This window comes from Homo sapiens, chromosome 16 (genome assembly GCF_000001405.40).
Source record: "Homo sapiens chromosome 16, GRCh38.p14 Primary Assembly".
Taxonomy (NCBI): Eukaryota; Metazoa; Chordata; class Mammalia; order Primates; family Hominidae; genus Homo; species Homo sapiens.
In genome coordinates, this window is record NC_000016.10 from 50,727,158 (window position 1) to 50,751,147 (window position 23,990).

Below are 23,990 nucleotides of genomic sequence, written 5' to 3' on the forward strand. Positions count from 1 at the left end.
ATGAGAAAAATAATAATTTAAAAAAAAGAGTCCAGGCTCTGGAACCAGACAGCCTGGGTCTTACCCCTGCTCCACCATTACCAGCCAGTTCTTCTTGGATGAGTGCCTCAGTTGCCTCAAGTGTAAATGGAGATAATGGCTGGACCTTCATTATAGGCCATGAGCATTCACTGAGAGAATGTAGCTAACAAAAGTGAGTTGTAGGTTGGAGCAAAAGTAATTGTGGTTTCAGACCATGAACTTTAAATTATTATAACTAGGCTAAAATACATCTTTATTAATCAAAATAGGAACCATTAAAATCAACACATTTTTGCCAATAAGAAATAAGTTTGTTTATTCCTGTAGCATAAAAATTCATGCTTCGGGATTCAACAAACTCTTGGAAAGCATTTTCTGCATCCTCCTGGTTGTGGAAGCATTTTTCCTGCAGAAAGTTGTCAAGATTCTTGAAGAAATGGTAGTCAGTTGGCTAGAGGTCAGGTAAATATGGCGGATGAGGCAAAACTTCATAGTCCAATTCATTCAACTTTTGAAGCTTTGGTTGTGTGACATGCAGTCGGGTGTTGTCGTGGAGAATTGGACCCTTTCTGTTGACGAATGCCGGCTGCAGGTGTTGCAGTTTTCAGTGCATCTCATTGACTTGCCGAGCATACTTCTCATATGTAATGGTTTCGCAGGGATTCAGAAAGCTGTAGGGGATCAGACTAGCAGCAGACCACCAGTGACCATGACCTTTTTTTTTTGGTGCGAATTTGCCTTTGGGAAGTGCTTTGGAGCTTCTTCTCGGTCCAACCACTGAGCTAGTCATTGCCAGTTGTATAAAATCCACTTTTCATCGCACGTCACAATCAGATCAAGAAATGGTTCGCTGTTGTTGTGTAGAATAAGAGAAGATGACACTTCAAAATGACGATTTTCTTGGTTTTCACTCAGCTCATGAGGCACACACTTATCGAGGTTTTTCACCTTTCCAATTTGCTTCAAATGCTGAATGACCATGGAATGGTCGATGTTGAGTTCTCAAGTAGTTGTAAGAAAATCAGCTTTGATGATTGCTCTCAATTGGTCATTGTCAGCTTCTGATGGCCTGCCAGTACACTCCTCATCTTCAAGGCTCTTATCTCCTTCGCAAAACTTCTTGAACCACCACTGCACTATACGTTAGTTAGCAGTTCCTGGGCCAAATGCATTGCTGATGTTGTGAGTTGTCTCCGCTGCTTTACAACCCATTTTGAATTCAAATAAGAAAATTGCTTGAATTTGCTTTTTGTCTAACATCATTTTCATAGTCTAAAATAAATATAAAATAAACAGAAAGTATTAAGTCATTAGCAAAAAATCATAAAGTGAGAATTGTGCATTAAAATGATGTATAGCATAACCACATTTATTTAAGAATGTATTCCAATATCAAATGGCAAATTTCAACAATGCAAAAACTGCAATTACTTTTGCACCAATCTAATAGAAGTTCAATAAATACTGGCAATTACAATTGGCATTGCCTTAGGGTCAACTTGTAAGACATTCCTGAAATTGTGGGAAAGGGGGAGGACCTGGAGTGGACATTATTGGAAGGCAAAGCTGTAACCAAAAGAGCAACCTGGGAAACACATGACTCCTCTGTTGCTGTCCCTGGCCCTATCCTGTCTCCCCTCCCTGTTGTCAGCTACCTCATATGTTCTCTAATCTCTGTCTCTGTGCCCTCAAAGACCCCCCTGAAAATAGAAATATTACTGCTCATTGGTTATTTTCTATCAATTAAGTACTGTATTAGTCCGTTTTCATGCTGATGATAAAGATATACCCAAGACTGGGCACTTTATGAAAGAAAGAGTTTTATTGAACTTACAGTTCCACGTGGCTGGGGAGGTCTCACAATCATGGCTGAAGGTGAAAGGCACATCTCACATGGCAGCAGACAGGAGAAGAGGGCTTGTTCAGGGAAACTCCCCTTTTTAAAACCATCAGATATCATGAAACTTATTTACTGTAATGAGAACAGGATGGGATTCAATTACCTTCCACTGGGTCGCTCCCACAACACGTGGGAATTCAAGAGATTTGGGTGGGGACACAGCCAAACCATATCAAGTACTGTGCAAGTGTTTTAGGCATGCAGAGAGTGGTGGGTCTTCCCAGCAAGCAGAGTGTGGGGAGGTAATGGGGGACTGGTGGCTGACTTAATGGCCCAGGACCCATGCCACAAGGAGATGGATGGTGGATGTGAATAGGAGCCTGCTTACACCCATCACAATTTAGATTCTTATGCTCGATGGCACGGGTACTCTTTTAGGCCCATTTTACCAATGAGGAGATTGGGACTAATTTGCTCGAGATCAAAAAAGAAGTGGTGTAGGTGGGATTTAAACCCAGGATGTCTAGCACTAAAATGCAGGTACTTAACCACTATCCTAAGGGAGTGGCTACTTAATTTGATAAACTCATCTAGTGAATGGAAGAGAGACGGTTACATTTCACTGATGGTACTGAGCCTTTGTTGATGAGCTCATTGGGAATCTCAGACATGAGCAGGATGTGTCTAAGGGACAGGTGGGCTTCAGTAGACTGGCTAACTCCTGCAGTCTCTTTAACTGGACAGTTTCAAGAGGAAAACCAAGAATCCTTGAAGCTCACCATTGTATCTTCTTTTCCAGGTTGTCCAATAACTGCATCACCTACCTAGGGGCAGAAGCCCTCCTGCAGGCCCTTGAAAGGAATGACACCATCCTGGAAGTCTGGTAAGGCCCCTGGGCAGGCCTGTTTTAGCTCTCCGAACCTCAGTTTTTCTATCTGTAAAATGGGGTGACGGGAGAGAGGAATGGCAGAATTTTGAGGATCCCTTCTGATTCTGACATTCAGTGAGAATGATTCTGCATGTGAAGGATCTGATTCTCTGTCTAAGAAAGAAGTCTTTACCTCTTTAAGTAGGGAGCAATGATTTCATTTTTAAACCTTGACTATTTATTCAGCAACTTCTCTGCTCTATGAGATAGTGTAGGAATGGGGATGTGGTTGAAGAATGAAAAGAAAAGTCAGCTCCCGCCCTCCTAGAAATTGCATCTGCCTTCACAGGTCAAGGATATTGGATCAGACCTTCTGCGGTTCTGAATGGAGATTACACAGGTTAGGAGCAGGTTGCACAGTGTTTCCAATTCTCTATAATTAAAGCCATAGACTTTCATGTATTGAAAAAAGCAAGAATTGCATTCTTGACAGATTCTTTCATTGCCTTAAAAAGAATGACTAGCCTTGGGAGTCTGGGCAGCTGGGTCCAGTGTTGTAGACTTTCTCTCTGCTGAGCCACAGCTTCAAAGATTTGTCCTTCTTGTTTCCAGGGATCTATTTCTCAGACAATAAGTAAAGGCTTTCCCTGGCCTAATGTGCTGTAAGTGAATGCTACTATATATGTTCCAGGCACTGGGCTAGAGACTAATATTTAAAAGCCAGGAAATTTCCTATAGAAAATCTATATCTCAGGGTTTTCTCAAAAGAGCTGGGAACTCTGGATGCCCATTCATGATTCCAGTAGTTAACCAGAGTACAAGAAGGGCTGAGTCTTCTCAGATGGGCAAACCCACTCTGGCTGACTGCAGATCCACCAAGCCTATTGTCTTAGACCAGGACCCTTTGGCAACTCATTCCCATAAGCCTGTGACCCTTGCTTTAAATATGCAGGCCTTGTCTTCTCTCAAAAAGCACATCAAGGCTGCAGCGAATGCAGATATCAAATGATGAAGTTAAAAACAAAAGCTTTGCTGGGCGTGGCAGCTCACACCTGTAATCCTAGCACTTTGGGAGGCTGAGGCAGGAGGATCACTTTAGGCCAGAGGTTCAACACCAGACCTTGTCTCTCAAAAAATAAAAAATTCAGCTGGGTGCGGTGTAGTTCCTAGCCACTTGGGAGGCTGGGATGGAAGGATCCCTTGAACCCAGGAGTTCAAGGCTGCAGTGGGCCATGATTGCATCACTGCACAGGCGACAGAATTAGATCCCATCTCTTAAAAAAATAAAAAATTTAAAAGTGACTTCAAAAATCTATGCTGTGATGGAGAGATTTTTCCTTCTGTATGATTGTGATAGCTCTGTGGCCTATGACGTCATCAGGTTCTGGGCAAAGTGTAGGTTTTCTGTTTCTTTGTTTTTGAAACCATTGCACAGTCCTAAGAAACATCACATTCTGGGTCCTGGGCACCAGCCAACATGAGGTTGATATTTTAAGGGGTCTGATGTTATTTGCTGCCTGTTGATGGAACTTGGGAGGGCACCAGGGTTTGCTCATTGCATTCTTGACAGATTCTCTTATTGCCTTAAAAAGAATCACTGGCCTTGGGGAGTCTGTGGCTGGCTGGGTGCAGTGTTGTGGACTCTCTCTGCAGAGTCATGGAGCCTTGTTCAGAATGCTTCCTGAGCTGCCCTGGTTGGCCAAGGGTAAAAACAGCCCTGACTTCCCTGCAAGAAACACTGCAGCTGGGCCAGAGAGTCAGCCCATCCCAGGCATGGGTTTAAAAAGTGGAGGCTTTTGTTTGAAAGCCCTGCTCTAATTTTGTCCTCACTCAAACCTCTGTTCACTTGATCTGCTTTAGGCTCCGAGGGAACACTTTCTCTCTAGAGGAGGTTGACAAGCTCGGCTGCAGGGACACCAGACTCTTGCTTTGAAGTCTCCGGGAGGATGTTCGTCTCAGTTTGTTTGTGAGCAGGCTGTGAGTTTGGGCCCCAGAGGCTGGGTGACATGTGTTGGCAGCCTCTTCAAAATGAGCCCTGTCCTGCCTAAGGCTGAACTTGTTTTCTGGGAACACCATAGGTCACCTTTATTCTGGCAGAGGAGGGAGCATCAGTGCCCTCCAGGATAGACTTTTCCCAAGCCTACTTTTGCCATTGACTTCTTCCCAAGATTCAATCCCAGGATGTACAAGGACAGCCCCTCCTCCATAGTATGGGACTGGCCTCTGCTGATCCTCCCAGGCTTCCGTGTGGGTCAGTGGGGCCCATGGATGTGCTTGTTAACTGAGTGCCTTTTGGTGGAGAGGCCCGGCCTCTCACAAAAGACCCCTTACCACTGCTCTGATGAAGAGGAGTACACAGAACACATAATTCAGGAAGCAGCTTTCCCCATGTCTCGACTCATCCATCCAGGCCATTCCCCGTCTCTGGTTCCTCCCCTCCTCCTGGACTCCTGCACACGCTCCTTCCTCTGAGGCTGAAATTCAGAATATTAGTGACCTCAGCTTTGATATTTCACTTACAGCACCCCCAACCCTGGCACCCAGGGTGGGAAGGGCTACACCTTAGCCTGCCCTCCTTTCCGGTGTTTAAGACATTTTTGGAAGGGGACACGTGACAGCCGTTTGTTCCCCAAGACATTCTAGGTTTGCAAGAAAAATATGACCACACTCCAGCTGGGATCACATGTGGACTTTTATTTCCAGTGAAATCAGTTACTCTTCAGTTAAGCCTTTGGAAACAGCTCGACTTTAAAAAGCTCCAAATGCAGCTTTAAAAAATTAATCTGGGCCAGAATTTCAAACGGCCTCACTAGGCTTCTGGTTGATGCCTGTGAACTGAACTCTGACAACAGACTTCTGAAATAGACCCACAAGAGGCAGTTCCATTTCATTTGTGCCAGAATGCTTTAGGATGTACAGTTATGGATTGAAAGTTTACAGGAAAAAAAATTAGGCCGTTCCTTCAAAGCAAATGTCTTCCTGGATTATTCAAAATGATGTATGTTGAAGCCTTTGTAAATTGTCAGATGCTGTGCAAATGTTATTATTTTAAACATTATGATGTGTGAAAACTGGTTAATATTTATAGGTCACTTTGTTTTACTGTCTTAAGTTTATACTCTTATAGACAACATGGCCGTGAACTTTATGCTGTAAATAATCAGAGGGGAATAAACTGTTGAGTCAAAACAGCCATCTTCCTTGTGACCAAACATTTAAAAATATTCTGGCTGGGCACAGTGGCTCACGCCTGTAATCCCAGCACTTTGGGAGGCCGAGGTGGGCAGATCACCTGAGGTTGGGGGTTTGAGACCAACCTGACCAACATGGAGAAACCCTGTCTCTACTAAAAATAGTGGAGGTTGCAGTGAGCCAAGATCACACCGTTGTCCTCCAGCCTGGGCAACAAGAGTGGAACTCCATCTCAAATAAATAAAGAAAATAAAAAATAAAAATATTACTAAAACTTGTCAAATTTTAAAGCACAATTTTCTACTTGAAGCGGAGGAAAATGATGTTTTCAACCCGATAATGTATAGCTTAAGGCAAAAGCAATTCTTAGAAAATAGCCAGGCAATCAAAACACTTTTGGCTTCAGTTTAGAAAAGTTTAACCCCGTGAAGTTTTCAGCTGTGCAGGAGCCTCCCCGTACCCAGCCTAAAAGGCTGCAACACATGTGAAAAGGCCCCTTGGCCCCCCTCGATTCCCTCAAAGTGGCTCCAGGAGTCTTTAACAGAAGGATGGAGAAGGTTTACTTATGGCTGGCTCTCCACAGCGAGCAGCCTCTCATGCAGGCCTTGTGTTAAAATAGTGCTTAGCTGCGTTTAATAAGCAAGGGATCAGGTGGTCACCCAGCAAGGTAAAATCCTACTTCCTTGAAAGGTTTTGCGTCTGGCTGACTCGGTGGTGTGGCATCTCCCTGGACCCTGCATGGGAGTGTGTCTATGGGTTTTCTTTGTGATTGGTGCCCTGTTCTGCCCAGACCATTGTTTCTGATACAGCAGATCAGGAGGAAGGTGGTGTTGAGTCTCCTTTCGCTGAGGAGTACACACAGCAGCCCATTTGCATAGCACTGTATTGGGTTGTCAGTTTGTCATCTTTAAATTCATTCAGCAATGAGGCCAGGCATGGTGGCTCATGCCTGTAATCTCAGCACTTTGGGAGGCTGAGGCAGCTGGATCACTTGAGGTCAGAAGTTCAAGACCAGCCTGGCCAACATGGCAAAACCCTGTCTCTAAAAATAGAAGAAGAAAAAAAAAAGTTAGCTGGGTGTGGCAGCGCACGCCTGTAATCCCAGCTACTTGGGAAGCAGAGGCAGGAGAATCGCTTGAATCTTGGAGGAGGAGGTTGCAGTGAGCTGAGATCATGCCACTGCACTCCAGCCTGGGCGACACAGCGAGACTGTCATAAATAAATAAATAAATAAATTCAGCAATGATTTATTAACCAGTTATATTAGGATGACCAGTGGATTGACAAAACAGACATGGTCCTCAAGGTGCTTAGGTGAGGGTGGAGGGAGAGGCAGGCAGAAAACAAGTCAGTTGAAAAAGACATGAAAAAGTCTTCATCCAGGCACTGTGGCTCATGCCTGTAATCTCAGCACTTTGGGAGGCCAAGGTGGGCAGATCACTTGCGGTCGGGAGTTCGAGACCAGCCTGGCCAACATGGTGAAACCCTGTCTCTACTAAAAATACAAAAATTAGCCGGGCATGGTAGCAGGTGCCTGTAATCCCAGCTACTTGGGAGGTTGAAGCAGGAGAACTGCTTGAACCCGGGAGGCAGAGGTTGCAGTGAGCTGAGATCACACTACTGCACTCTAGCCTGGGCAACAGAGCAAGACTCCGTATCAAAAAAAAAAAAAAAAAAGTCTTCAGGCTGTTAAGGGGCTGGTCCGAGACAGGTTGTCTGAGGAGGTGCCAGGTAAGCTGTGTCCCCAAGAATGAGAAAGATATGGCCAAGCAAAGAGTGAGAGGGAAGAAGGGAGCATTCTAGTAATGGGGGACAAGAGGTACAAAGACCCTGGTGAGGGAAGGAGCGTGGTATGCATGGTAGGCTCAATAGTCACTCCCGAACATATGTAGATCCTAATCCCCGGGACCTGGGAATGTTGCCTTACCTGGCAAAAGGGACTTTGGAGGTGGGATTCAGTTAAGGGTCTTGAGATGGGAAGATCATCTTGGATTACCTGGGTGGGTCTTAAATGCAATCGCAGTTTCCTTATAAGAGAAATTTAAAGGACAATGTAAAGCAAAGGGAAATATGACACTGGAGAAGAAAGAAATGTGATCACCAAGTAAGATGCTACACTGCTGGCTCTGAAGGTGGAGGAAGGCGCCATGAGCCAAGGATTGCAGCTCTAGAAGCCAAAGAAGACCAAGAAATAGATTCTCCCCTAGAACCTCTGCAAGCAGCATAGCCCTGCCTGCCTTGGCTCCAGCCCATTTTGGACTTCTGGCTTCCACGACTATAAGGGGATAATTTGTGTCATTTCCTGCAGCAGCCATAGGAAACTAATACACTATGTTGGAGGCAAGCTAAGGGAAAGGTGTCACTAGATGGGTTTGCAGAGGTAGGTAGGACCAGTTCAGGAAAGGTCTCACTGGCCACAGTCAAGAGTTTGGTCTTGATCTTGGAATAATGTCAAGGCCTTGGAAAGTTCTAAGCAGGGGAGATGTGAACCAATTTACAGTTAAAGAAGATCTTGTTTGCTTCTGGGTGGAGATAGGACAGGAATATGTAGGGGTGGGGATGGGAGGCAGAAGAAGTGGGGAGGCTGCCTCAGAGCTATTGCAGGTGAGAGGCGGTTGGCAGTGGAGGTGGAGAGAAGAGGATGGATTCCAGAGACATTTTGGAGGTAGATTCCCAAGAGCCTACGAATGGGTTGGATGGGAGGGATGAGGGAATGGCAAACATCAAGGATGACTCATAGATTTCTGACTTGAGAAACTGGGGGCCTGGGAAAGTTGGGTAGGAAACCAGTTTGGAAGTGGGAGGGAGTTCTGTTTTGAATTGTCAAGTTTGAGACACCGAAATGGGGAAGTTAAGTGGAGACGTCAAAAGATGGTGTGAATTTGGAGCTCGTGGGAAAGGTCACAGCCAGAGATAATAGCGTGGGTGTCCTCAGTGTCAAACTGAGAATGGGGCCCTCGAGTCTGGATGACATGAGCTAGAAAGAGATTATGGAGAAAGAAGAGGTCAAGAGGGTCTAGGTAAGATGGTACTGAGATCTTGATATGTGATTCCTGGTAGAGTTCAGAGTAGGAGAAATTCCCTAATTTTCAAAAGTCCAGCGGATACCACCAAAAGCCTCCTGGGCCTGTGTAGGGAACTAGGGAAGTAGGATTCTTGATTGTAAGCTTCTCTGATAGGGAAGTTACCTGAAAGGTACATGCTCATGGCCAGAAGTTTATCCATGAGCAGACGGATTCCAGTTTTGCAGCTAAGAATACATAATTCTTATGCACAGAAAAACAACGTATTAGAGCAGAATTTTAAAAACAGCCTCAGACTTTCATAATATTCATCATCATCCTGGAAGAAAAAGGATGCCAGTCTGAGGGCCCTTCCCTCCCCATAGCACCAAACAAAAAGCTGAAATGAATACACCCCACAGAAATGTGAGAGTTGGAGTCATATTCCAAGTGGCTGAGCTGAGACTAGCGCTTCATTCCATTGTTGTACCAGGACAGCTTCAAGCCTCCTTATTCACTCCGGTGAGTGGTCCAGCCCAGTGTGTGAAGTGCCCAGTACTCAGGGCAATGCCTGGAAGTGCCCGGGCACGAGAGGATGTGCTGCCTCGGGCCCTAGGTGGAGGGTTCCAGGTGAGCTGTAAGGTCATAAAGGACATTTCCCCTGGAGAATCGCAGGCGGAGATCGCAGCAGGGAAGACTGGCAATCCAGGCTCTTTGATTGGCTTCCCTTGGATCGTTTTTTTCCCTGTAAATTTAATCCCAACCTATTATTATTTCCTGAACAATCCACAGATCCAGTCCCCTAAGCATCACCACTCCCCTGATCACTCACCCTGAAAATGCTTCTTTTCAGGAGTGCTACATCTCTTTCTGCTTTGTAACAACTTCTCGATATCTTCAGTTCCACATCCCCCTGCACCCCTCCCTCTCACCTGCTCTGCCTCCACCCCCAGGAAACAAGGGGGTCCCTTTGGGATCCATCCTTGCCTGGGTTACTGCATCAGTCTCCCTGTTACTGACTTTGACCTGAGGCATGAACCTATTAAAACATAAGTCAGATCAGCTACTGCTCTGATGTAAACCCTCCAGGACTTCTTGTTGGTGCAGGGTAAAAGGTAAGGTCTCATCTGACTTGGACCCCCTGTATCCTCTCTGGCCTCCCCTTTGCCACTCACACCTGTTCTCTGGGCTCCAACCTCACTGGCTTCTTTGCTGTTCCCTGAGCATACCAGGCACATTGCTGAGGACACCAGGCACATTGCTGCTTCCAGACCTCTGCACTCGCCTTTCCCCTCCTATGGGAACACTGTTCCCTGAGACAGTGGTGTGGTTGGCTTCTTCATTTCCTTCCAGTCTTAGTTCAAATGCCACCTACATGAGGTAGTCCTTCCCTGAACAATCTACCTAAATAGCAGTTTCCAGCCACTGCCTGCCTTCCTTTGTATTGTCTTCTCTGCATGAACTACCTGATGCATGGTCATTTTTCCCCTCCCCTAGAATGTCAGCTTCTTGAGAACAGGAACCACGCTCACTGCAGTGTCCTCAGAGTCTACAAAGGTGCCTAGCACATAGTAGGTGCTCAATACATATTTGTTGAATGAAGGAAGGATCCACTTTCTTTATTAAAGGGGGCAGAAAATAGAAGTTGGGGCAGCTTATAAGAATGAGTCACCCTTTTTCTGACATCATTTGTGTCTCCTTGGTAAAGGAGGAAGATTCCCTGGGACATGGAACAATCCCTAATGCATCAACTGCCCAAAATGGGATCCAGATGTAGCAGAAAGTTCCCTTTAATAAAGAGCTTTCTGTGTGTGTTTTAAAAATCAAACATAGAAATTATTTGTCATTGATACCAGCAAATAGCTCAAATGGGAGAGCATGGATTTATAGTTCGGCTGGATTAGTTTAAAGATGATTAAAGTAATCCCCTTTATCTTATCAAAAAGAGCTTTTAGGTGGTCAGAGTAAAAGTCCTCAGACAGAATGTTCAGTTGCACTTGGAATTTCCCTTCCCTAAGAGATAAGCACATCTCAGAGATGGAAGACCTCAGCCCGTTATCCATGGATCAAAACACTGTGCTGGGCTACTGTGGAGAAAGCGCCTGTGACGTATCCTTGCTTGTGCGGATACCTGGTCCAGTTAGCCACTTGGCCTGGTGTTCATTCTGAATGCCCATATTCACAGGATTAGTGGGAAAATGGCTGGAACCATGGGAGGTTGGATGGACATCTGGGAGTTGCCATTTACTAAGATGGGGAGTGCAGAGGGATTGCAGGGGGTGGTGGTGGTGAATATCAGGAGTTCGCTTTTGGCTGTGTTGAGTGGAGATGCTGAGAAGGCAGTAGGATATAAAAGAGACACCAAATTTGGAGAGACTGCAAGTAGGAGGTACCCCGTGGTAGGCACTGGGAAGCATGGAGCAGGGTCTAGTCAATAATCATGACCGGTGCCACTGAGCAGGTTCCCTTGAGTCCTGACGGTGTGTTACTCTATGTCCCATGCCCCTAGCAGGCTACCTGGAGTTCACCGTCCTCCGTGGGGAAAGCTCCATTCAATTCAATAGCTTTATGTTAGGGTCCCGCTGTGTGCAATGAGAGAACTACATAAGACAGCTTAGAATCAGTGTTAGGTCAGGCACAGTGGCTCATGCCTGTAATCCCAGCACTTTGGGAGGCAAAAGCAGGAGGATCACTTGAAGCCAGGAGTTCAAGACCAGCCTGGGCAACATGGTGAGACCCTCATCTCTACTCAAAAGAGAAAAGTTAGCTGGGCATGGTGGTGCGTACCTGTAGTCTCAGCTGCTCAGGAGACTGAGGTGGGAGGATCACTTGAGCCCAGGAGACGGGGGCTGCAGTGAGCTATGATTGTGCCACTGTACTCCAGCCTAGGCAACAGAGTGAGACCCCATCTCAAACAAAAAACAAAAAACAAAAAAAGAACCAGTGTTATGTTCCCTGCAAAACCCTTCACAACTTCCCATTGCTCTTGGGATGGAGAACAACCCCTGTCCTTGGCTCCCAAGGCTCTTTTGTGCCTTCATTGTCTGCGCTCTGCCTCTTCCAGTTTCTTCAACAGGTCATGCACTTTCCTGTTTCCTATTTCTGGAGTGTTCCCCCTCACTCCTGCCTGCCAGTTATCTTTCCCATCTCATCTCAAAGGTGACTTCCTCAAACAGGCCTTCCCTGAGTGGCCAACCTCCCTTTAGGCATGCTCAGAGAGATTCTTCTTCTGAGGCTTACCACAGCCATAATTAAGTAAGTGATCATCTAATGAGTATTTTAGTTTGCCTTTTTTTTTTTTTTTTTTTTTGCCAGAGGGAGTGTGGCATCTCTCTTGTACACTGCTATGTTTCCTGGAACCTGCTCAGTAACACAACCGCTAGTTCCATGAACCCAGGACCAGGCTGGATGGAAGAGGCTGTGGGGTGGTGGATTGAGAGAGGTCATTAGTGAGGGCTGGAGCCCTCTGTGAAGACATGTCTGTAAAGGACTTTGACTAGGTCCTCCATGAAGGGAGGATTTGGAAGGCAGAGATGATGAGCATTTCAGTTGGGGAATCCATTTTAACAGAGGTGGAAAGAGTCTTGGCTTGGAATCAGGGTCTCGGCCCATCTCCTGAGTGACAGGGGCTTGTAATTTACTGTCTTTGGGCCTTCATCTACTACCTGTAAAATGAGAGGCTGGTTCACCAAGGACTGCAAATAATAGCACCATGACACTATCTCCCCATCTTATCCCCTGGCAGATATCTCTCTTCCCGGTGAGCCTGAATATAAGTTCAGAATTAGCTTTAACGCAATGTTCTAAGCAGCCATTCCCAATTGATAGGAAATGATAATTGAGATAAGCCCCATTTGTCAGGCTTGACTTGGATGAAGATCCCTTAGATGAAGTCAGGCCCCGGCACTGATTCAGTGAACGTATGACAGGACAGAGCCTGGGGACGAAAGCCCTATGGAAGTAGAGACCTCAGCAGCACCAAACACCATCAACAGAAAGGACACAAAAATAGGCCGGGCACATTGGCTCATGCCTGTAATCCCAGCACTTTGGGAGGCTGACGCAGGCAGATCACTTGAGGTCAGGAGTTTGAGACCAGCCTGGTCAATATGGTGAAACCTTGTCTCTACTAAAAATACAAAAATTAGCTGGGTGTGGTGGCAGGCACCTGTAATCCCAGCTACTTGGGAGGCTGAGGCAGGAGAATTGCTTGAACCTGGGAGGCGGAGGTTGCAGTGAGCTGAGATCGCACCATTGCACTCCAGCCTAGGCAACAGAGCAAGACTCTGTCTCAAAACAAAGAAACAAACAAACAAACACCCCAGCAACAACAACAACAAAAACAAAAAGAAGGGACATGAAAATATTCTAGTCCAGAGTGGCAAACTCAGATGCCTTAAGGGACCAGTGGATGTAGATCGTGCAGATAAGAGAAGTGGTCCCAGTGGTAACATGAGAATGTTTGCCTTGCCTAAAAGGACCCCAAATCTCTCTCCTTCACATTCTTTTCTCCTTCCTCCTTATCGTATGGGTTAGGCAAAAACAAATTTCAGCTGAAATTTTCTTCCAGACAGTTGGACTGTGACCTCTGAGTCCTACCAGCTTTGTTGGAGAATCCAGATGTAGATGAGAACGGTGTTGCCTAAGGCCACACTTCAAGCCAGGCCCGTTGATTTCCAACTTATGGCTTCCTACAGCAGTGTGGTCATGAAGCCTGGAAAACAGGAAGATAGGAGTGACAAAAGAGGGACAGGAGTAGAATGAGGCTTAGGTTTTCAAAAGATGCTCATTTCATTTTGGATGACTATGGCAAGGAAGAGTGGTGGCCTGTCTACTGCTACTGTTAGTCATCACTCATGTGACTGTTTTTATGTATTCATTGGTTTAAATTCCCTGGATCTCCAGAAACATGTCACTTTCCACTGGGGGAAATTTGTGTCATGATTAAAAACACACACACACACACACACACACACACACACACCCCTCCTCCTTTCTCAGTGTTAATCACCTTCTCCTATAATTAGCACTTAAAATGTCAAAGGAGAAGAAATTAATTAACAGGAGTATCCAGTGCAGCAAGGCTCTAGGACTGATTATAAAAAGCACTTCCTTAAATATTTTGAGTGCTTTTGGGAATCAGAAGCCTCCCTTCTAATTGAAAGATCCTTAACTACACCCTAAGTCCTGGCTGGTGGCCAGGGGTGCGGGGCTGAGTGAGGCGGCGTGTGGAAATCCCTTCTTCACCATCCTTGGGAAAATTCCCTCCAAACTGGGATAGGTGGCAACAGAGGTTCGGAAACAGCAAGCGTCCCAGGCTGAATCTGCGGAGGAGGAAGAGATGAACCTTTCCTGAGCTGGTACTGCGTGCCAGGAACTTTAGCTCGGTATTTTGCCACAATCCTGTAAGACAACCGATACTATGATCTCCATTTTACAGATGAGGACATTGAGGCTCAGCGTGGTTGTGACTTCCTCAGGTCACGCAGCCACTGAATGAAAGCGCCAAAGATTCAAACTGAGGTCTGATTCTAAAGCTTTGCTCTCTCACGGCATCCTGGAATCCTATTTCAACCTTCATCTGGACTCTTAACCCAGCCCAAACCTAAGCGTCTACAGTTTTGACAGCTGAGGCGGGAGCACGGGAGGCGGAGCTGGTGGCAGCGCAGCGCCCCGCCCCGGCTCCAGCATCAGCCAATGGTGACGCGGCACCCACAGCCTTTCGCCCAATCAGCTTGAGCTTCCCGCCTCCATCCGCCGCTCTTCTCTGCCCCGCCCCTTCGCTTTCCCTTTGGTTCCACCGAGCTTGACAGAGCGGAAAGTCCCTTCGGCCGGCGCCGGGCTGGCAGCCATTGGAGGAAGGTCTGTCACAGGGAGGCCCAATCACGGCCCGCTCAGGAGCGCAGCTCGGCCTACGATTGGCTAGCGCGGCGGCTGCCCCCTCCGCCCCCGCTCCCTCCCTCTTCCCTGTGCGGTTCGGAGGCGGGGCAGGTGGGGGCGGGCCCAGGTAGCAGGTTTGGCTGCGCGGGGGCCGCGCGTCGGAGGTAAATACTAGGGCGGTGGGTGTGGGGAGCCGGGGCCGGCCCGGGACGCGGGCTGGGGAGCCGGGGCGAGGGGCGACGCCCCGCCGCCCGAGGTTAGTGAATGAGCGGGCGGCTGGCGGCCGGCGGGCGGCCGGATCCCCTCGGCGCAGCCGCCTGGCCTCAGGGCGTCCGGAGCCGCCGCGGCGACCATCGGGCCCTCGGCGCCGGCCCGTTAGTTGCCCGGGCCCGAGCCGGCCGGGCCCGCGGGTTGCCGAGCCCGCTGACGTCAGCCCGGGTTTCCCCCCCCCACCGGGGCTTCCCCATCCCCCGAGGCTTCCCGGGAGGGCTGCGAGTCCGGGGAGCGTGCGGGGTCGCCACCATCGGGACCCCCAGAGGAGAGAGGACTTGGGGCGGGAGCCGCGCGGGACGCTGTCCCCCTCCCGCCCCCCACCCCATTTACAGATTGGGAGACTGAGGCACAGGCCGCTGGCGGGCCCCGACGGCCACGGTTGGCCTCAGGAGCCCGGGGCTGTGATTCCTACCGACCGCGCCGCGGGGCGTACGTACCGATCGATTTTGCGGGTGTTGGTGGCTCCCGTCCAGGAATGGCAGTCGGGGTTCTGGCCTTGTTAATGGCGTGTTCTGCTTTTTCTTTCAGTTTCCCCCTTTCTAGGGTGAGGATGGTTCTACACAGCCACCCGGAGTTCCTTAGTTGAAAGGTGCGCCCTGCTGTGACAGGTATTCTTTCTTTATGTTTTTCTTTCATGTTAACAATCGAGGGGGGTGGGGGGCGAATGGGGGGCGGGGGCGAAGTCATGAAATCTTCAGGAGATGGTGTTGAGTTTGGTACTCAGCTGGGTCAGCTGCCGGTTATTCATGTACTTGGCATCGTTTCTCTTCCACCCCTTGGCATTTGAATGTTTTAGGATAGTTGTCATCTTCCAGCCACCAAGCCTGTGGCCTTGCAGTCTCCCAGCCCCCATCATCCCTGCCACCTTCTTCTCCTCAATTTTTCCTGGAAAGTTTTATCCTTAGCTCAGCTAAGGAGCATGCCTACCTTGCTTTTGAATTCGGGCTAATTAGGGATCTTAATAAGATTGTTCATTTTGCAATCATTGGCTCTCAGAGAAGCACCCAGGCCTTGAGAGGGTGTTCGTTTGATTGTTGGCTTTCTACACACCCCCTCACGCCCCAAGTAGACTGAATGGCCTTAAGAATTTAGCCTCCCATTCCCCACTGAGCAGTAGGTGGATTTGAACTAGAACAGTATTAGGAGAAAATGATTTGCTGGAAATTCTTATTGAAGTAACACCCAGAACATTCTCTAATATTCTGCTGCAAAATTGTATAGTATTCTTGCAAATAAACCTTCCTCTGGGTGGTAACTTTTGTGAGAAGCAGATAAGGCTTGTTATATAAAGCACAACTAACATTAAGCAGCAATGATTTTTATAGTCTGGCACACCTAAACTGTGGTTTTGTTTGATTTAAGGAAGTCTCCAACACAGGGAGAGAGAAAGGAATAGTTATGTTGTTTATCAAACTATTAGTATTTTGTTCCTGATTTTCACACTATGATTTAAATTAGTTTTTTTTTCATTGGTTGTACAGAATTTATAAGCATCATACATGCTAGTTGAGGCTGTAGGAAGCTAGTATCAAATAAACCTCAAAACAACTTGGTTTCGTAATTGTGAAATTTTCCGTATTTGTTTCTTCTTATATGTATAACAATGAAGTGGTTTAGCATGATTTCATTTTATCTAGAGAATTACTGAAGTTTTAGGCAAAATTCATTAAATACTCCCAATTCCTGAGTCTTTTTCTCTTCTCTTTCTCTTGGTTTAATCCCTTAAACAGGAGGAGGAAATGCAATTTTGTTTTCACTGTTACCACTTGAGTCTTTCATTCATTTCTCTGTATTCAGTGCCTAGCATATGCCAGGCTCTCGTGTGGGCACTGGATAATATAAAAATGAAGGACTTGGGGAATTCACAGTTTGGCAGTGGAGTGGCTAGGTTTAACACTAGAGAGGCAGCAGTATTCCTTGTTCCAGTGGGAATATGCAGATGTGAGAGGCTCTTCTTTTCTTTTTTTTTTTTAACCTTATAAATCCCACTTGTATTAGGGACTGTGTACTTGTGACACAAATTAGTCATTGAGGAAAATTAAAACGGACTCAGTCTTTTTTCTGGCCACGGAATCTCTGTATCTCTATTCTTTAGCTGTTTAGAAATATAACAACTTTGTCTTTTAGTGAGAGATGTTCTCTTTTAAAAGGATGATCATTCTAGCTATCCAGAAGCTTTTGGAAAAAGGCCCACATGTCTTCTTTCTTTGGTGTTCAAGCTGACCTTCCTACCTCTTTGCCATTTATAATTAGGGGCAGAATTAAGTATTGTAAGTTTTATTCTAATTTAAATAGCTTCCTGTGGTTTTTAGAACAAGCAGGATATCTTTGGAGATGCAAAAAGCTCTTGAATTGGATCTGTCTTTGTGAGATCCTTATGAACAATATAACCTGATAACTTGAGAATCAGAAAAACACTGCATCTTCTGGATAAGTTAACCATTGTTAGTTTTCTGTAGCTACTGATGTTCATTTGTACTATATGTTGCCTTTCAGAATGTGGTAATTGTAATCTTTAACATTTTCATGTAAAACATATTTCCTGATCATCTTTCCATTGTCTTCATGGAAAATTGATAAATATTTGTGCCTTCCAACTCTCGTCTTGGTTGAATGACTTCATCTTAATACAAGTAAGTTCCCCTTTACTCAGAATCCAGACCATCAACAAGCTCAGATAACCAGAAATGTTTTCAAATCTATGTGAACCTGAACTGTTCTCCTTCATCAGCGTCCTTAAAGGAAAGGCCTTCTGTTCAACATGGCTTTAGGGTTAAACATATTATTGTGTTTCAACTCGTTGGTAATTTTCATTCAGTATTTATTACCAAGATATTCATAATCACACAGTTATCCAGCCTGAAGTAAGATAGTATTTAGATGAGTCATTTGTGATATACTCACTCAAAGTGATTCAACCTGCAAAATAATAAGAGAATACAAGTGAAAATTTCTCCCTTCACACTGACCCCTCACCCCCACCTGCCCTACGGTGACTTTGAATTTAGCTGTGCTTCTTTTTCCTTCAGTTGTCTTACTGTTCCCTAGGCCTTTACTTAAAGGCAGAAGCTGAGTGAATGTGGATTGATGTTGGGTTTTTTTTTGTGTGTGTTCTCTCTTTCCTCTTTGTTTTTTTTTTTTTTTTTTTTTTTGAGACCAGGTCTTGCTCTGTCACCCAGGCTGGAGTACAGTGGTGTGATCATAGCTCTCTTCAGCCTGGACCTCCTGGGCTCTAGCGATCTTCCCATCCTCCAGAGTAGCTGGGACCCTGAGTAGCTGGGCCCACAGGCAGACACCACCACACCCGGCTAATTTTCTTTTCTTTTTTTTTCTTCCTTTTGGGACAGGCTCTCATTCTGTCACCCAGGCAGGAGTGCGGTAGTGCTATCACAGCTCACTAAAGCCTTGAACTCCAGGGCTTAGGGGATCCTCCCACTTCAGCCTCCAAAGTGCTGGGATTACAGGAGTGAGCCACTGTGCCTAGCCTAGATGATGTAGTTTTCAGTATCTAACTCTGTACTGAAAGCGTAAAAAATACCAAACTAACAAACCAACCTTCTTGATGATAAATAACTCATTTACAATGTGATTTAGATCTTTCCCTTCATATTGTGTTGAGTCAGTTTTTACTGCTTGGGGTACCTAAGACTTTAACTATTTAACTACTATGCACATCCCAGTGAAAGTAGACTGTTGGTGTTATATTCACTTCTACAGTGGGGAGAAATGTATGTTAGCATATTTTTATTGCAATACTGGTATTTTGAGTACATAAAATAAATATATATATATAATGGAGTGTGTATATATGTGAGAGAGTGTGTGACAGGGTCTTGCTTTTTCACCCAGGCTGAAGTGCGGTGGCGTGATCATGGCTTGCTGCAGTCCCTCCCTCCAGGGCTCAAGCCATCCTCCCACCTCAGCCTCACAAGTAGCTGGGACTACAGGCACATGCCATCACACCTGGCTAACTTTTGTACTTTTTGTAGAAATGAGGTTTCACTGTGTTGCACAGGCTGGTCTCAAACTCCTGGGCTCAAGCTGTCCACTCACCTTGGCTTCCCAAAGTGTTGGGATTACAGGCGTGAGTCACTGTGCCTGGCCGAGAATATTAGTGATCATTCAGTTGATTGCCTTGTATATCTCTAGACTCGAGCCGTAAAGTTTCCCATTCAACTTTCTCTATCAGTTGCAGTGAAGAGAATCAATTTTTAATAAGAGAGTTTCAAACTTGTTCTTAATATATTCTTTCTGAAAGAGGAAAGGCTGTATCCTTTATTTTTGGATAATGCTTTTGAAATATTTGATAACTTGTGCTTGACTATTTTAGTTGTCTAACATGACCCATCCTATTGCTAAGTCTAAGCTCATTTCCACTTGTGCTAATGAAAGTTAGGAAAAAAGTTACCACTCCTTGTAGAGTTCACTTTAAAATATGGTACTTGAAAGCTATAGTTTATTACCCTAAAACATTTTTATAAACCTAGCAGTTATATCAATTTTTACTGTGGATTCTCTTCCTTAAATTATTTCAGAAAGCAAGCTTATAATCAAATTTATTTAACATAATGTCCTAATGCACATATAGTAATTTAGTTTTGTCTTAATAATAGATTATTAGCATTAATGATTTTTATTTTAAATTGTGACATGAATAGTTAAGCTACAGGACCAATAGAGTAGGAGCTGTTGGTATAAAGCAATTATTAAGATTCAGGGAAGTTTCTGATTGTAATATTTGAAGACATTGTTCTTAGGAATTTTAAAAAAGAATTTCTTTTCAAAATAGAATTACTTTACCTTTTTCAAAAAAATTTTGGCCCTAAAAATCTAAATACATTTTAAAGAGAACCAAAACAACAGCTCGTTTTTTTGAAAGTTGCTTTTTGACTGTCTTAACCTTCTGCTAGTGACCAGACTCTCTATTCAATAAAGCCTATGTGCCCTTTGCTCCTAAAGACCCTTTCAGAATGTATGCATTCCTCTTTTCACGATTGTTGCTTTGTGTTTTCAAACACACAAACATATTTCACTACCTGGCTTCTCAGAACTGATTCGAAGCGATAAGTTGGAAAGCAACAAGGCCGTAAAAGGAGTCAAATGCATACAGCAGGAAACCACAGAAAATGGCTGATTGCAAGGGAAAACTCTAGACAGTAGATCTGTAGAAAGCATTCGCGACCTCAGGAAGCATAAGATACAGCCTTTTAACAAAATAACAGCCTTGCAGATCAAGAGTTATGCAAAATAATTTACAGTCATAATGATACATCAATGATCAAGAAAAAAATAAGGACATTTTCTTGTGGAAAGTGTTGACATGTTAAAAGCATTTTGGTCAAAAAGAACCAACACTTCAGTTTGGTCCTTTAAAGGAATCCAACCAAATTGAGGGGTTGGATAGCTGTTTGGGCAGCCCTTATAAGGAGTTTTGTTTATATTGTGTCAAGATAGAGGTTTCCACAGGTGTCTTATATAAGTGGCAAATATAAATTGATCCCATTCTTGCTGAAGTAGACAGTGCCCTCAAGTGGAATTAAAACAAACACACCACAAAAAAGAAGAAAAGAGAACCACTTCATGCTACCTCTGCTTTTACCCTCACTGAGTGTTACACAGATATTTCAGTCATGTTGGTTTGAAGGAGGTGCCTAACCTGTATCCTGTCTTGGCTAAACCACATGTCTCATGCTGGCTTGTAGAGGGAGAGACTTTTAGGAACGTTACCATTATGGAATACTTCATTATCTAGCAGTGCTTTCTAAAAGAAGTGTTCCACTGTGTATAGATTTGCCAGGTTGTTTGATCATTAAGTGATTAAATCTAAAATTTGGTTCTTTAGGAGTATTTATTTTTTAATTGCTAGAATAAAATAAATATGATAGTGCTATCAATTGCAGCCATTACCCAGAATAATGGAAATGGATACCTCTATCTCAAGGAAGGATGAAATGAAAGTACTGTCTTTGGAAACCAGATAGCCACATTCTTATGACAGGGATACCTAGGAAGTATTGTTTTCAGCAGAAAATTAATTAAAATAATGAAGTAAAGTCTCAGTTTAAATTAATGAAATTGTGTAGTTTTTTAACCATCAGTTAAAATAGGTTTGAGAATGAGCCTACTTCATTGGAAAGATTATTATTCTTGTAAAAATTTTAAATGAGGACCAGGTGCAGTTGCTCATGCCTGTAATCCTAGAACCTTGGAAGGCCAAGGTGGGAGGATCATTTGAGTCCAGGAGTTTGAAACTGCAGTGAGCTATGATCGCACCAATGTACCCAAGCCTGGGTGACAGAGCGAGACCCTGTCTTAAAAATAAATAAATAAAATAAAAATAAATGAAAATTTGAAAAAGAAATAATAGAAAGAAATTATAATGCAGTTATATCATGATATTCCCTTGCTATGTAGTACAAGTTTTGATGCTACAAAATTGATTTTTAAAATATTTTTAATATAGTCATATTATAATATCTGATATTTGCGATTTGAGAAATCAGATAACTATGATTAATGTGATGAACATTGCCCATCTTCAGAAAAAATATATGAAATGAAGTTGAGTCAGAGGTAAAATGTTCCATTATCACAATATGGCCATATCATAGCTATCATTTATAGGCATGAGCCACACAGCTCAGCCCGAAACGCTACTTTTAAAAGTTTATTAGTGTCAGAATATGGGACAGGCCTGGTGGCTTACGACTGTAATCCCAGTGCGTTGGGAGGCCAAGACAGGAGGATTGTTTGAGCCCAGGAGTTCAAGACCAGCTTAGGCAACATAGTGAGACCCTGTCTCTACAAAAAATAGAAAGCTTAGCTGTGTGTGGTGATATGCGTCTATAATACCAGTTACTCGGGAGGCTGAGGTAGGAGGATCACTTGAGCCTGGAAGGTCTTGGCCACAGTGAACTGTGATTGTGCCACTGCAGTCCAGCATGGGCAACAAGAGTGAGACCCTGTCTCAAAACAAATAAATAAAAATAAATTAAAAAAAGTTAGAATATGTATATAAGGGTAATCTTTAAAAGTTTTTACTAGAATCTGATTTTATAAATTTCAGTGTCTTGGAAGCAAACATTGTGTTGTCTTTGAAAGTACTTTACAATTGGATTTCATTAATTAAATATGCACAGTTACAGTAGATAAAAGTAATACAGTATGTATGTCTTTTAGCCCTTTTAGATATTTTTTGAAAATATTTCATTTGTGTGTATGTGTTTACTGGTCAAATGAAAATTTTAAAAGTCTTCAGTCTTAATTTTCAGTCATGTAGAATGAAGTCTAAAGTTTATTTTTGCTTTTTCACTAGGCATTTTGATTTCCTTTCTTTTTACAGCATGGACACCACGTTGCTGAAAACATGCTTTGGGACTGCCACTGAATTTATCTTTTGCGGTTTTATGACAAAGTTATTAGTAGTTTCCCTTTTTTGAATTAGTATTTTGAAGTTAATATCACAATGAGTTCAGGCTTATGGAGCCAAGAAAAAGTCACTTCACCCTACTGGGAAGAGCGGATTTTTTACTTGCTTCTTCAAGAATGCAGCGTTACAGACAAACAAACACAAAAGCTCCTTAAAGTACCGAAGGGAAGTATAGGACAGTATATTCAAGATCGTTCTGTGGGGCATTCAAGGATTCCTTCTGCAAAAGGCAAGAAAAATCAGATTGGATTAAAAATTCTAGAGCAACCTCATGCAGTTCTCTTTGTTGATGAAAAGGATGTTGTAGAGATAAATGAAAAGTTCACAGAGTTACTTTTGGCAATTACCAATTGTGAGGAGAGGTTCAGCCTGTTTAAAAACAGAAACAGACTAAGTAAAGGCCTCCAAATAGACGTGGGCTGTCCTGTGAAAGTACAGCTGAGATCTGGGGAAGAAAAATTTCCTGGAGTTGTACGCTTCAGAGGACCCCTGTTAGCAGAGAGGACAGTCTCCGGAATATTCTTTGGAGTTGAATTGCTGGTAAGTTTGATAAACCATTTTAGTAGTGTGTTTGTTTGTGTTCATGTGTGTCTGTGTATTTGTATGCACATACATATTTTTCTCCTTAAATACGAAATAAATTTTCCCAAGAGTCTTCTGTAATTTTTAATATTCATCATCCTTGCTGATGAATCCATGTTGTGGTTGAATCCATAATCCAAAACTTGCTTATAGTTGTCACTGATAATATGTGTGAAAATCACCTTGGCGTTTATTTCTGTTGGAAAGAGACCCAAGAACTCTGTGATATGTTTCCAAGCTTAATATTCATTCTTGAGAACTTAAATGTCAATTATATTTTGACATTCTTGCAAATAGAATTGTATGCCTTCTTTGCTTCTTGATTTAATTTCTTTTGTTTACTTTTTAATGATGAATTGCGAAGATGTAAAGATGATGTCGAAACTTAAAAAACTATGTACTATGGTAGGAACATACAAAGAGATTCACCTGGCTATTGCAGACATATATATTTTAGAAATTTTAACATTGCCTGTATTAAACATGAACGCTACCAGTTGTAAATAGTTACATAAAAAATTGTTAATTACCTTGCGTTATCATCTATAGGTTTCTTAGTTCTTCTTAATGTATGTTATTAAATAACAATTTAGATATAAGATTTTTGAAAAAAAAGTTGCAGAAATTTAAACTTGCTTATAATTGTCCCCGATAATATATGTGAAAATCCTTAGAATTTATTTCTACCGGAAGGAGACCCAAGAATGCTGTGATATGTTTCCAAACTTAATATTCATTCACAAGAACTGAAATGCCAATTACATTTTGACACTCTTGCCAATAGAATTGCATGTCTTCTTTGCTTCTTGATTTAATTTTTTTTAAAAGCAGTGATTGTAAACAATTAGGAATTTGAATCCCAGTTAAGCCATTTACTAGCTGGGTTGCCAGGTTACTTAACAA

At 43.8% G+C, this 23,990-nt stretch overlaps 2 protein-coding genes, 1 long non-coding RNA gene and 1 other non-coding gene across 44 annotated transcripts in view, besides 4 other annotated features; 3 read left to right on the plus strand and 1 right to left on the minus strand.

The window, feature by feature from the left end:
- The window catches only part of NOD2 (nucleotide binding oligomerization domain containing 2), a 39,470-nt gene extending 33,552 nt beyond the window's left edge, over positions 1–5,918 (plus strand). For all 10 annotated transcript variants that reach the window (NR_163434.1, NM_001370466.1, XM_006721242.5 and 7 more), the window contains 2 exons: positions 2,661–2,744; positions 4,590–5,918. Coding sequence is in view for 9 of the 10 variants with exons in the window: in NM_001370466.1 (NP_001357395.1) it covers positions 2,661–2,744; positions 4,590–4,662 (157 nt within the window). In the remaining variant the exon portion in view is untranslated. The remainder of the gene's footprint in view (positions 1–2,660; positions 2,745–4,589) is intronic.
- On the minus strand, positions 258–15,590 carry CYLD-AS1 (CYLD antisense RNA 1). Of its 7 annotated transcripts, NR_184279.1 has the most exons (7): positions 15,514–15,590; positions 14,171–14,247; positions 13,523–13,637; positions 5,061–5,203; positions 2,686–2,796; positions 1,856–1,993; positions 258–1,293 (listed from the first exon to the last, which is right to left on the minus strand). It is a non-coding gene; the product is annotated as a CYLD antisense RNA 1 (long non-coding RNA). The 7 variants fall into 7 exon arrangements; NR_184278.1 differs by having other exon boundaries at positions 13,523–14,247; NR_184274.1 differs by lacking the exons at positions 258–1,293; positions 1,856–1,993; positions 2,686–2,796; positions 5,061–5,203 and adding an exon at positions 7,153–9,668.
- Positions 6,361–6,655: a silencer, noted in NCBI's record as "tiled region #1297; K562 Repressive non-DNase unmatched - State 21:Repr". NCBI's record gives its function as "represses a minimal TATA promoter and a strong SV40 promoter by Sharpr-MPRA in K562 cells {active_cell/tissue: K562}" and the evidence as "EXISTENCE:reporter gene assay evidence [ECO:0000049][PMID:27701403]".
- Positions 8,666–8,715: an enhancer, noted in NCBI's record as "active region_10827". NCBI's record gives its function as "activates an Ori minimal core promoter by ATAC-STARR-seq in GM12878 lymphoblastoid cells {active_cell/tissue: GM12878}" and the evidence as "EXISTENCE:reporter gene assay evidence [ECO:0000049][PMID:35858748]".
- Positions 14,744–15,343: a silencer, noted in NCBI's record as "silent region_7491". NCBI's record gives its function as "represses an Ori minimal core promoter by ATAC-STARR-seq in GM12878 lymphoblastoid cells {active_cell/tissue: GM12878}" and the evidence as "EXISTENCE:reporter gene assay evidence [ECO:0000049][PMID:35858748]".
- CYLD (CYLD lysine 63 deubiquitinase) overlaps positions 14,929–23,990 on the plus strand; it is a 59,850-nt gene continuing 50,788 nt past the window's right edge. For 7 of the 26 annotated variants that reach the window (XR_007064858.1, NM_001378743.1, NM_001042355.2 and 4 more), the window contains exons 1-3: positions 14,929–14,967; positions 15,605–15,684; positions 22,419–23,045. Coding sequence is in view for 22 of the 26 variants with exons in the window: in NM_001378743.1 (NP_001365672.1) it covers positions 22,542–23,045 (504 nt within the window). In the remaining 4 variants the exon portion in view is untranslated. Of the gene's footprint in view, positions 14,968–14,998; positions 15,060–15,257; positions 15,506–15,604; positions 15,685–17,572; positions 17,710–22,391; positions 23,046–23,990 lie in introns of those variants that run through there. The other 19 variants (NM_015247.3, NM_001378745.1, XM_047433661.1 and 16 more) reach the window with 11 other exon arrangements.
- Positions 15,148–15,220, plus strand: MIR3181 (microRNA 3181). Its single transcript, NR_130462.1, has one exon. It is a non-coding gene; the product is annotated as a microRNA 3181 (primary transcript).
- Positions 15,584–15,683: an enhancer, noted in NCBI's record as "active region_10828". NCBI's record gives its function as "activates an Ori minimal core promoter by ATAC-STARR-seq in GM12878 lymphoblastoid cells {active_cell/tissue: GM12878}" and the evidence as "EXISTENCE:reporter gene assay evidence [ECO:0000049][PMID:35858748]".